General features: G+C 36.1%; 1 protein-coding gene across 5 annotated transcripts in view, besides 2 other annotated features; it reads left to right on the plus strand.

Moving 5' to 3' along the window:
• The window catches only part of CPED1 (cadherin like and PC-esterase domain containing 1), a 308,732-nt gene that overhangs the window by 41,882 nt on the left and 253,758 nt on the right, over positions 1 to 13,092 (plus strand). The gene's annotated exons all lie outside the window — the stretch shown is intronic.
• Positions 11,223 to 11,517: an enhancer, noted in NCBI's record as "tiled region #12289; K562 Activating DNase matched - State 5:Enh". NCBI's record gives its function as "activates a minimal TATA promoter and a strong SV40 promoter by Sharpr-MPRA in K562 cells {active_cell/tissue: K562}" and the evidence as "EXISTENCE:reporter gene assay evidence [ECO:0000049][PMID:27701403]".
• Positions 11,223 to 11,517: a silencer, noted in NCBI's record as "tiled region #12289; HepG2 Repressive non-DNase unmatched - State 24:Quies". NCBI's record gives its function as "weakly represses a minimal TATA promoter and a strong SV40 promoter by Sharpr-MPRA in HepG2 cells {active_cell/tissue: HepG2}" and the evidence as "EXISTENCE:reporter gene assay evidence [ECO:0000049][PMID:27701403]".

Below are 13,092 nucleotides of genomic sequence, written 5' to 3' on the forward strand. Positions count from 1 at the left end.
TACTCAAGTCATCCTTATTTTACTTAATGGCCCCAAAGGGCAAGAGTAGTGATGCTAGTATATTGTTATAATTATTCTATTTTATTATTAGTTATTGTCATTAATCTCTTAATGTGCCTAATTTATAAATTCAGCTTTATCAAAGATATGTATATATAGGAAAAAAATAGTATTTTATAGTGTTTTGTACTATCCATAGTTTCAGGCATCCACTTGAGGGGGGAGGTCTTGAAACATATCTCCTGCAGATAAGGGGGACTACTATATTAATTAAATGCATTGTTCTATGCACTTTATATGTATTAACTAATCTATTTCTCACTTCTAGTCCATAAGGTAGATATTTCTATTTCAAAGATGAATTGAGGTTTAGGCAGTCATATATCCAAAGCAGTTCATGTCATAAATGGTGGAGTTGACGCTTGACCCAAGGGTCAGTTTATCATCAAACCTGAGCTTTTAACCAGAATATCATACAGATTTCCTGCAAGTGTATAGAAAATGCATGCTTCATTCTTTTTAGCATATTATTGTATGCATACACCATATTTTTAAACAAATTCCTTCTTAATAATTAGGTTTTTTCAACTTGTTGCTATAAAATACAACTTTGCTGTGATATTCATTTATATCATATTTTAGAGATTTGAGTTATAATACAAAATTATTGCATCAATGGGTAAAAATATTAAAACTGTGGGCCTGCCTGCCAACTTTTTTCTTTTTTTGTTTTTTTCGAGATGGAGTCTTGCTCTGTTGCCCAGGTTGGAGGGCAGTGGCGTGATCCCAGGTTCAAGCGATTCTCCTGCCTCAGTCTTCTGAGTAGCTGGGATTACAGGTGCCTTCCACCACACCCAGCTAATTTTTGTATTTTTAGTGGAGATGGGGTTTCACCATGTTGGCCAGGCTGGTCTCGAACTCTTAAACTTAAGTAATCCACTCGCCTTGGCCTCCCAAAGTGCTGGAATTATGGGCATGAGCCACCACACTCAGCCAGTCTCTGCCAATTTCTCTACAAAAAGATGGTTTCTGTTTTTGCTTCCACCAACAGTGCTGATACCCTATGTGTCTTCAGTATTAGACATTATCACATGTCTTCAGTATTGGATATTTATCTCATCAGATTAAAAAATGACACAAAATGTCTATTTTTAATAAAAATTTTGATTTTCACATCAGTTGAAAATATATTATTGACTAAATACATTTAAAATAATTTTATTTGTAAAACTTAATACTATGTATATATGAATACACAGTTCATAGAAAAGCAAATTTAAATGACAAAATGAAGAATAGATGCTGAACCTCATAAAAACTTAAGGAAAGATAATTTAAAATATAGTGTATTACTTTATATTCATGAGATTGGCAAAACCTAAAATTAGTGATATCACCTATTGATGGTGAGGATTCTGAGAAAGAAAACTCTCATACATTGCTTGTGGAAATGTGAAATATTATGGCCTTATTTTGGGAAAGCAATCTGGAAATATCTATACAACTTTAAATATACTTTTAAGCCAACAATCTTATTCTTGGGAACCAACGTGATAGAATTTAAAGCATCAAAACATTATAAAGTATATACCTAAATCTTAAAATTAATAATGTTAATGAAGTAGGAAAAATGATTTTAAGTAAGGACAAACAAAAGAAGCAAGATTGCTATACAAATTTTTAGTAGTAAACAATTAGAGATAAAAACAGTGAATTATGTTCTAAGCATTTCTGGAAAGGTAGAAAATTAATATTATGAGACTAAATGGAACTATGATTTGGCATAATCCTGTTAAAATGTGAGATAAAGTGTGCTTCTCCATCATTCTCAGCAAACTAACATGGAACAGAAAACTAAACACTGCGTGTCTCATAAGTAGGAGGTGAACAATGACAACAAATGGACACAGGGTGGGGAACATCATACCGCGGGGGGGGCCTGTCAGGGTGTCGGGGTGGTGGGGTGGGGAAGGGGAGGGAGAGCATTAGGACCAATACCTAATGTATGCGGGGCTTAAAACCTAGATGACAGGTTGATAGGTGTAGCAAACCACCACGGCACATGTATACTTACGTAACACACCTGCACGTTCTGCACATGTATCCCAGAACTTGAAGTAAAAGAGAAAAAAAGGAAAAAAAAAACAACACTTCTTAGAGGTGTAGGAATGATGCAGTTTAATAGTACTTGGCATAGTTTCACATTGGCCTAAATATTCTTCATCTCATAGATGACAGAATTATTAGCCTTAGGAGACACTTCTGATATATCCTTGGCTGCTGGGAACAGGGCCAATTTTAGGAAAATTGTGAAGTGGATGAAACTTGTCTTAGGCGACAGCCCTGATTACTCATTACCCAGCTTCCTCTGTATCTAAAGCATACACGTTAGGATCCAAGGAGACCTACCACCTGGAGCTTGTTGTTATTTACTCATGAAAATGTACCTTCCTCCATCATATTTCAGGGCTCAAGATGTCACCTATTCTAGCAAATAAGAGAAAACTGCTGAGCCTGGTTCTAGGTAATATGCATACATTTTAACTGAGGCCAACTACTGTGAGGTCCTCTCTTTTTCTTAGATTGAAACCACTGCTGAGTGTCTGTCAAGTTAATATTTCTTCCTTCTGTAGGAGGAATGCCTGCTGAAGAAACATGAGGGTGTGGGTCAGGGTTAGAAGAGACGATTATCATTTCCTGTGTTTTCTTCATGACACTATGTTATGTCACTGTGTTCAGAAGCCTTAAATAATAGGCTGGCAAGACACATAGAAGTCACATTTTGTTACTTGAAAGTTCATCACCTAGATGTCGGATTTATCTGCCTGTATCTACCTACCACCTACCTAGCTATTCACTAAATAAACACTTATATAAAGCTATCAAATACTGACAGTGTCCTACACACTTTAAAAATATTAACTCACCATCCCTGTAACATCCCCAAAATGTGAGTGTTATCATTCCTGGGAGGTCTGAGTTTTATGCCTTATATCCTCTATTTGAAATGACCCTGAACAAGCTTATTAGATTATCTATTGTTTGATTTTAAAATGGAAGATAAGACTTCCTTCATAAATATCTCACAGTAATGTTATGGTTGGGTTCAATAAATCTCCAAAGATTGTTGAAAATAATGCTTATGAATAGATGTGTAATCCTAAAATACTGTGGCATTAAGTAATAAGCCATTGAGAGACAGTTGATTCTTTTTCTCATGTTAGTGAATTATATTTTCTCAAGCCTTAATTCTCATCTGTGCTGAATTAGTGTGGATTTATTCTTGAAATAAATTAGAAATTAGTGGTTCTCTCCTTCCTCTTAGACTTCTCACAATCCCCAATGCCTTATTATACAATGTTAACCCAGATATGATGAGGTTTTGTTCATTGCATTTCACATAAGTCATGAAAAATAACATTTAGTAGAACAGGAAGAAGGAATAATATTTGGTTAAATGAAGTGTCATAATGCTAATTATACACTAAAACCGCTTTTGCTGTTCTGCAGAATTTGGCATAAGGAATGTCTATCAAAAAGTCATATTATATACTCAAGTAATACAAGTAATAAAAGAAGCCAAGATAAAGCATCAAACTCAAAACAAGGATTATAAGGAGGGCATTATTATAGCCAGACATCAAGTTTTTTTTTCTTTTTTTTTTTTTTTTTTGAGATGGAGTCTCGCCCTGTCACCCAGGCTGGAGTGCAATGGCATGATCTTGGCTCACTGCAACCTCTGCCTCCCAGGTTCAAACGATCCTCCTGCTTCAGCCTCCAGAGTAGCTGGGATTACAGGCATCCACCACCATGCCCAGCTATTTTTTATATTTTTAGTAGAGATGTAGTCTCACCATGTTGGCCAGGCTGTTCTCAAACTCCTGACCTCGTGATCTGCCCGCCTCTGCCTTCCAAAGTGCTGAGATTACAGGTGTGAGCCACTGCGCCTGGCCGACATCAAGTATTTTATAAGTGACACTAAGCACTCAAGTCTTATTCAACACACTGTTATTAAATAAGAGCTATATGTAGGACCCTATAATTGGTGTGGGTAGGGGAGGGAGCATTACAAAGGTAAGACCTTTCAAAGAACAATTGGGCAGAGGTGTTTCTCGAACTTACTTGTATATACCAATCATCTAGGGAGCTTATTGGCAAATTCTGATTTGGTATGGTCAAAGATGGGGCCTGAAAATTTGCATCTCCACCAAGCTTTCAAGTCATGACAATGTGGATCCATGGAGCATTTCTGAGTAGCAAGGCTATACATGTTTAAATGTAATATCAGGTAAAATAGAAGCAGTCTGAAGGGCAGAAATAAAATGTTTTGGGAGAACAGAAAAGGAAATGGGCAATTCTGAATGTGGGGATCTAGGAAGGTGTCACAAGTAGAACACTTGGTGTGTAAGAATGATTTCTTAAGCAAATATAGGAGGGAAGAGCATTCAAAAGTGTGAGCTCCATACTAGAGGCATATAGGTTTGTAAGAGCTTGGAGTTTCAGGGACCAAAAAAAGGCAGGTGCAGCTGGAGAACAGGAGTGTTTGTGGTAGGGAGGGGCTACTTCTGGGGAAAGGAGACTAGAAGACTGGGTTGGAGTAGATGTGCAGGGACTTGGTTGCTGTGCTAAGGAATTTGACCTGTATTGTTCTGACAAGGATGAGATCTGTATTTTAAGAGAATAACTCTGACTATAGGAAGAAAAATAGATTCTAGAAGGAAAAATAATTAGAAGCAGGAAGACTAGCTAGAAGACTTTGCAGAGATGATATCTTAGATTTAGAGAATGGGATAGGATTTAGAAAGGCCAGGAAATATTTTAAAAATTTAAATTTCAAATTGATGGTGTTTGAAATTAATAAGATTTGGGAAGGAGATGTGAGTACCAGTTGAAGATGTCCTTATGCCTTCTAGTTTGAGAAAGAGTGGCTATAGCTTTGATGATTAAAAGAAAATGTAGGACTGGGCACAGTGGCTCAGGCCTGTAATCCTAGCACTTCGGGAGGCAGAGGTGGGAGGATTGTGTGAGCCCAGGAGTTTGAGACCATCCTGGGCAACAGAGTGAGACCCCTGTCTCTACAAAAAATTAAAAAATAGCCAGGTATAGTGGTGTGCAGATGAGTCCAAGCTACTCAGGAGGCTGAGGCAGGAGGAACACTTGAGTCCAGGAGGTCAAAGCTGCAGTGAGCTGTGATCGCACCACTGCACTCCAGCCTAGGTGACCGAGTGAGACCCTGTCTTAAAAAAATAATAATAATAAAAAAAAATAAATAAAAAGGAGGAAGAGCGGGTCTTTTCGTGGGAGATAATGGGTTCAAATTTGTACGTTTTCAGCAGGGCATCTCTTCTAGAGTATTACTGGAAATGCCTCTTGAAACATAAGAAAGATTAAGAAATGTGAATTTGTGAGCCAATGACAGAAGCAATAGTTAAAACCATATATGTCAATAAAATGCCAAAGGAGTTGTTAAATTTAGAGGGAAATAGTAATAAAGGTAAAGGAAAGGTAGGGATTTGAGGGGCTGCATGCATTAAAAAAATTTATTTCAATAGGTTTCTGGAGAACAGGTGGCATTTGGTTACATGAATAAGTAACTTAGTGGTGATTTCTGAGATTTTGGTGCACCCATCACCCAAGCAGTGTATACTGTACCCAATGCGTAGTCTTTTCTCTTTCACCATCCCCCAGCCTTTTCCCCAAATCCCCACATTCCAGTGTATCATTCTTACGCCTTTGCATCCTCATAGCAGCTCCCACATAATACTGAGAACATATGGTGTTTGGTTTTCCTCCTGAGTTACTTCATTTAGAATAATAGTCTCCCAGTTCCATCCAGGTTGCAGTGAATGCCATTATTTCATTCCTTTTTATGGTTGGGTAGTATTCCATGGTGTGTGTATATATATATATATATATTTTTTTTTTCTTTCTTTATCCACTCATTGATTGATGAGCATTTGGGGCTGGTTCTACATTTTTGAAATTGCAAATTGTGGGGCTATAAACATGCTTGTGTAAGTATCTTTTTCATATAATGACTTCTTTTCCATGGGTAGATACCTAGTAGTGGGATGGCTGAATCAAATAGTAGATCTATTTTAAAGGTTTTAAGGAATCTCCACACTGTTTTCCATAGTGGTTGTACTAGTTTACAATTCCACCAACAGTGTAAAAGTGTTCCTTTTCACTACATTCATGCCAACATCTATTTTTCTTTTTCTTTTTTGATTATGGCCATTCTTGCAGGAGTGAGGTGTTATCACATTGTGGTTTTGATTTGCATTTTCCTGATAATTAGTGATGTTGAGCATTTTTTCATATGCTTGTTGGAAATTTATATACCTTCTTTTGAGAATTGTCTATTCATGTCTTTGGCCCACTTTTTGATGGGACTGTTTGTTTTGGTCTTGCTGATTTGTTTGAGTTCCTTGTATTCTGGAAATTAGTACTCTGCTGGATGTATACAATGTGAAGATTTTCTTTCCCTCTGTGGATTGTCTGTTAATTCTGCTGATTATTTCTTTTGCTGTGCAGAAGCTTTTTAGTTTAATTAAGTCCCTTCTATTTATCTTTGTTTTGGTTGCATTTGCTTTTGGGTTTTTGGTCATGAAGTCTTTGCCTAACCTAATGTCTAGAAGGGTTTTTCTGATGTTGTCTTCTAGAATATTTATGGTTTTGTGTCTTAAATTTAAGTCTTTGATTCATCTTGAGTTGATTTTTGTATAAGGTGAGAGATGAGGATCCAGTTTCATTCTTCTACATATGGCTTTCCAATTATCCCAGCACCATTTGTTGAATAGGGTGTCCTTTCCACACTTTATGTTTTTGTTTGCTTTTTTGAAGATCAGTTGGCTGTAAGTATTTGGGGTTATTTCTGGGTTCTCTATTCTGTTGGATTGGTCTATGTGCCTATTTTTATACTAGTACCATGCCATTTTGGTGACTATGGCCTTATAGTATAGTTTGAAGTCAGGTAACGTGATGCCTCCAGATTTGTACTTTTTGCAGTCTTGCTTTGGCTATGTGGCTCCTTTTTGGTTCCATATGAACGTTAGGATTATTTTTTCTAGTTCTGTGAAGAATGATGGTGATATTTTGATGGGAATTGCATTGAGTTTGTAGATTGCCTTTGGCAGTTTGGTCATTTTGACAGTATTAATTCTACTCATCCATGAGCATGGGATGTGTTTTCATTTGTTTATGTCATCTATGATTTCTTTCAGCAGTGTTTTGTAGTTTTCCTTGTAGAGGTCCTTCACGTCCTTGATTAGGTATATCCCTGAGTATTATTATTATTTTTGCAGCTATTTTGAAAGGGGTTGAGTTCTTGATTTGATTCTCAGCTTGGTCACTGTTGGTGTACAGCAGAGCTACTGATTTGTGTACATTAATTTTGTATCCTGAAACTTTGCTGAATTCGTTTACCAGTTCTAGAATCTTTCTGGATGAGTCTTTAGGGTTTTCTAGGTATACAATCATATCATCAGCAAGCAGCGACAGTTTGACTTCCTCTTTGCCAATTTGGGTGCCCTTTATTTCTTTCTTTTGTCTGTTGCACTGGCTAGGACTTCCAGTACTATATTGAATAGAAGTGGTGAAAGTAGGCATCTTTTTCCTGTTCCAGTTCTCAGGGGGAATGCTTTCAACTTTTCCCCATCCAGTATAATGTTGGCTGTGGGTTTGCTGTAGACGGCTTTTAGTACCTTAAGGCATGTGAGGAGCTGCATGTATTAAGAAGGGGCTTTCAACTCCAAATTTGATCTATTTTTCAGTCCTCTGAATTTTTTTAAAAATTGGAATTTATTTGTGGAAGAATGCATGTTACATAAAAAGTAATTATTTTTACCTTCAGCATTATAATGCTGATTGGTTTTGTGATACAACATTCTAAGTATAAAATACTTTGGTGACATGTATAATTAATATGTGAAAGTCTGTGTCTAGTTACTACCACATAACAATCATCATCTTGTTTCTTCTGGAGAATTCATTTATTCAGACTTTTTAAAAACTGAAGTCCATACTTTGTTCAGATTTTCTTAGTTTTCATCTAATGTTCTTTTTCTGTTTCAAAAATCCCATCTAGTATACCATATTACATTTAGTCATCGTGTTTCATTCAGCTCACTCCTCTTGGCTGTGACAGTTTCTCAGACTTTCCATTTTTTATGACCTTGACAGTTTTGAGAGGAACTGGTCAGCTATTTTGATGTCCCTCAGTGGGAATTTGCCTGACGTTTTTCTCATGATTAGACTAGAGTTATGGTTTGAAGGAGTGTGAACACAGAGATAAAGCATCATCCTTATCATGTCATGTCAAGAGTTTGTACTACCCACATGACTTAGCTCTGTTCACGTTAACCTGATTATCTGACTGAGGTAATGTTTGCTAGGTTTTTCCACTACAAAGTTATTCTTTTATTCCCTCTTTCCATATTGAACTACTTGGAAAGGTGTCACCATGTGCCATTCACGCTAAAGTAGTAAGAACTTATGCTCTACCTCCTTGGAGGCAGAGTAGCTACGTAACTGTTTTGGAATTCTTCTGCATGAGAGATTTGTCTCTTCATCACTATGTATTTATTTATTCAGTCAGTTATTTGCACCATTATGGGCTCATGGATATTTATTTTCTACTTTAGCTTATAATTCAATATTACTCTATTTATTTAATTGCCCAGATTGCTCCAGCTCTAATCGTTGACTTCAGTGTGTCTTCGACGTACCTTTGTTGTTACTTTTTTGTTTGCTTGCTTGTTTGTTTTTGAGCACTTCTTACTTTCTGACACTGCAACAGTCTAAGCTTATCTTGTGTATTTCCTGCCCCAACCCTTAAAACAGTCATTCCTCCAACAACATGTTTCCTTTTATTGGAGAATGGTATTATAAACCAACATTTTGCACTGGGAGTTTTCTGATTTTTAAATTGTTGCAATGTTAATATCTTTTAAGGTGTTTCAAGCTGCTGAGCATTTCAGACATTTAGAAATTTCGTAAAATGCAGTAATGAGAGTGTTGTCCCAGACAGACAATAGTCTTGAAAGCAGTAAAAATGTAAGCACGCATACCCACACATGTATATAGTCAGTTACACTTCAAAAGAAAATGACATAAATGGCATGAACACCTTTTTAAAAAAATCATTTAAAAAAACTAGGAGGGAACTTTAGCAAGCCTTCTAAAGTGAACATTTCTTAAAGGATTTATTTCACAAAAGTAAACTCATTGATTTCCTTTTACACTTTTTTAAATGGCTAATTTCTTCACAACAAAAATCTTTTCTTTTGCAAAATTTAAGGATAATGTCACTTTCTTGAACCTATGAGTAGCTTAGAAAAATTTAGGGAGCTCAAAACTCATCACAGATACTATTATGTCTCATTGATCTTTACAACCTCTTGTTGGGCAGAAAGAGGGTAGACATTAGGACAGGAAAGCCTGATCCCTAGTATGGGTTTAGGCCATTCATGGAGAGAATGGTTTAGAATTTCTCTGTTGAGTAACATAACATTTTCATTAACCCTTAAAGGCTATGGAGCCAGAAGCATAGCAAGTAAACACCCATGACCAGCCACTTGAGGTGAAGAGACCAGATTTATTTAGATTTTGTAGCCATGTTGTATAGTTCATTCAGGATCTCAAGCTTCCGTACATACGATTTCTCTTAAATTTAATTCTGAAAATTAAAATAGTCAACCCAGTAAACATCTACTAAGTGTCTACTATAATCAGTGTTAGAAACAATAAGGTGACTGTTTCTTGTCCTTAAAGAACAATCATAGATAAAATTAATTATGGGTGCTGTGGTACTGTTCCATAGATCTCCTACATGAAGAGTGCAGAGTAAGGAATTGGTTAATGCAACTTGAGAAATTTGGGAAAAGATAGAGGAATTTGCAATGATTAACTTATATCCAACTAATCTTGTAGTGGAATCAAGTATAGACCCTAATTTATCATCAATAAGCTAAAAATGTACTCATGAACATAATACTATGCACTAATCCTGATAAAGGATGGATACAGGTAAATACTTTGTTATTTAATAGGGATTTTATAATTTAGTTGTGAAAAGAAGGGTAATACAAATGAACAGTGAACAGATAAAATATCCTCACATATTATATTATAAAGGAATATTATGAATTACTAAAAAATTAAACACCTTTAGTACTTCACCTTAAAGGAAAAAAACTCAGGAAATCATCCTTGTTGTATCCTTATGGAATATGATAGTTTAATATCGTGAATAAGTAAATGAGGCTTGGCTTTTGTAGCTTTGTATTCTAGAAGCTCTTGGACATGTTTTTTTCCAAACTATACTTTATAAATCTGTTCTGCCTCAAATTAATGTGTAAGTGTTTACAGAAAATTTCCAATATGTAAAGCACTGGAATCTCCCATTTGTTTGTATAATTTAAGCACAATGAATTATTAACTTTGTTCTTCTCATGTTTATTTCTCTTCTTTTATCCTTACCAGCTAAGAACCAAAATTATATTTATTTCCTCTTTAAAAAACTAATGTTTTTCTTACTATTATTCTATTTTTAACTTATAGAATAGAATTTCAATATACTTGCTTTTGATTTAATTATAATTGTTTGCTGTTCACATGCAGTTATTCACTGATTCACTCATTTATACATTTTATAAATATGTGGCAAATGCTTTACATTTCAGTCACTATTGTAGGTACTGAGAATTTAGCAGTAAACAAAATAGATATAGTCTCTGCCATCATGGAGCAGATTTTCAAATTGGGGGAACCATAATAAACAAATACAGAAAAATATATATATATATATAATCTGTGAGATGGTGGTAAACACTGTGGAGAAGAATAAAGCAGGAAGAGACTTAATATTCTTAGATTTTTATTACGTGTGCCAGAAAATTAAAGTTGTCCTTCCTTGAGAATAAACAGCATTTGATGCTAATATGAACGATGCTATCTCAGATTTCTCTGTTGTTCTCTGGATTAAATTACGGATCTTGCAGATGTTATCAGCGAAGGAGGTCATTTGTGAGCCAGGAAATGAGTGTTTGCTTTATGGCAGCCTGTCTATGAGAAACTGGAAATATTCTAAAGGCAGCTTCACTCCTTAGGGCAGATGCTTCATTTTAAAACCAAACAAAACAAAAACCTCTAAAAATTGCTCTTACTTTTAACATGAACAGATGTTAGCTGGTTTCTGAGAACACTTAGAGAAGGATAAAAACTATAGTCAGTGCCATTTTATATCTGAATTAATTGATCTGGACCCTGACGTCTCCTTCCAAAATTGTCTGAGAAGTTTTCATCTTTTCCAGAGATAACACTATGAAGGCATGATAGTGATTCGTGTTATCAGCAGCTTTGCTTCCATGTGTTTGGGAGGTGCCTGTAGGTTTTTCACATTCTGAGATGGGGACTGGAGCATCCACATCCTGTTTTCCTAGAATTATGCCCTATGACCTTTCTATTTAAGACCTTGGTAAGCCTGATCAGGAAGTTCTGGTTTCTCCGCAACAGGGAAAGAAATAATTTTAATTGTTAAAAAAAAAAAAAACTAAGAAAGTTTTAAGGATATATTTTCAAAAATAGGTAGAGGCCAAGTACATATTTCTAGTTCCTGAGTACCTGCGAGGTAAGTACTAGCTCCTTTTATATAGGAAGATTTAACTTTGATTACCAGTGGTATTGCCAATAGTATGATGGGGCACGATACTCAGGTGAGGGTCTAGGGATACCTGAGTTATACCTGCTGTAGTTATTTCTTCCTCTGAGCTTCCAAAGACAAACAGATGTACCAGACAGTGAGAGAGAAAGGCTAGAGCTGGATAATTTCTGTGTCTGTTTCCTCACTTGTAAAGCACATGTAATAACATGTAATAATTGTTTCTACTCCACAGGGTTGTTGGAAATATTACATAAATTAATACATGTAAGGCATCAATAGCTAAATTTCTTTGTTGCTTCCCTGTTTTCAAAGGAGATAATGGTGTAATGTTCAAGAACATGGCCACTAGAGCTAGTTGTTTGTATCCAAATTCTCTTCCCACCACTAACTGGAACGGCGAAGTTGGGCAAGTTATTTAACCTTTCTGTGCCTGTAAAAAATAGAATAATCATATCAAATAGATTGTTGTATAGGATAAATGAGATAATACAAATATGTGGAACAATATTTGGCACATTGTAAGTTCTGAAGAACTATTAGCTGTTCACATCATTGTTACTACTACTTCTACTACTAATTTATTTGTAGTGGCTTTGGCCCCCAAATCCTAATGCAGTATTCTAAAGAGCAAGGCTAAATCATATAGAGTTGTCCTTTTCCCCATGCAAGGAGAACCTAAGAAGTCACCACCCAAATTGACCAGGGGCTTTGCCTGTTTTCAGCTAACACAAATCTGATGTCTTAGCACTTCTTACTCTAACGTCAACCTTCTCAGTGCAGAAAAGGCACATCGAGAAAGACATAAACAATGAGCATTTACTCCAGTGCTTAGAAAGAGCCTGTCCTAGGCCATTTACAAGTATGGCAACAGCCTTGAGACAGGCTCAACATGGAAAAAAGTGTAACGAGAGAGTGTGAATGAAAAAGAGATGAGGCAAGGCCCAGGTAGGAGCAGATTCTGGGCCACTTTTGCACTCCAACTGGGAAGAAGAGATGGAAGGAAAAAAAAGATGATCAGAGACCACTCTTGATTTTTCCAGGCTCTGAAAGGAAGGAACCCTAAGAGGCTAAGTTGCAGCCCTTGCCACCTTTAATGTAACCAACAAAATGTCCTTGGAATTGAATGACCTTCCCCAATCTTATGGAATAGCATGATAAATATAGAGATCAAAGGGTATATTCAAACATCCCTCTAGGGCCAATTAACTAAATAGCAGTTTACCTAATGTTATCTTAATAAAACCAATTTATCTAATGAACAACTCTAATTCATTAAAAGCTAATACATGGAACATCAATTTGTCAAATGGCCAACTCATGGAAACCTGGAACACTCTATTTTATGCCAGGTCTAGGATGGTGTGCTGCTACCAGAGACAGAGCCCAAGCAGAGTTAGGGCCAGGTGTGGGGGTAAGAGACCATGGCAAAC

This window comes from Homo sapiens, chromosome 7, assembly GCF_000001405.40.
Source record: "Homo sapiens chromosome 7, GRCh38.p14 Primary Assembly".
Taxonomy (NCBI): Eukaryota; Metazoa; Chordata; class Mammalia; order Primates; family Hominidae; genus Homo; species Homo sapiens.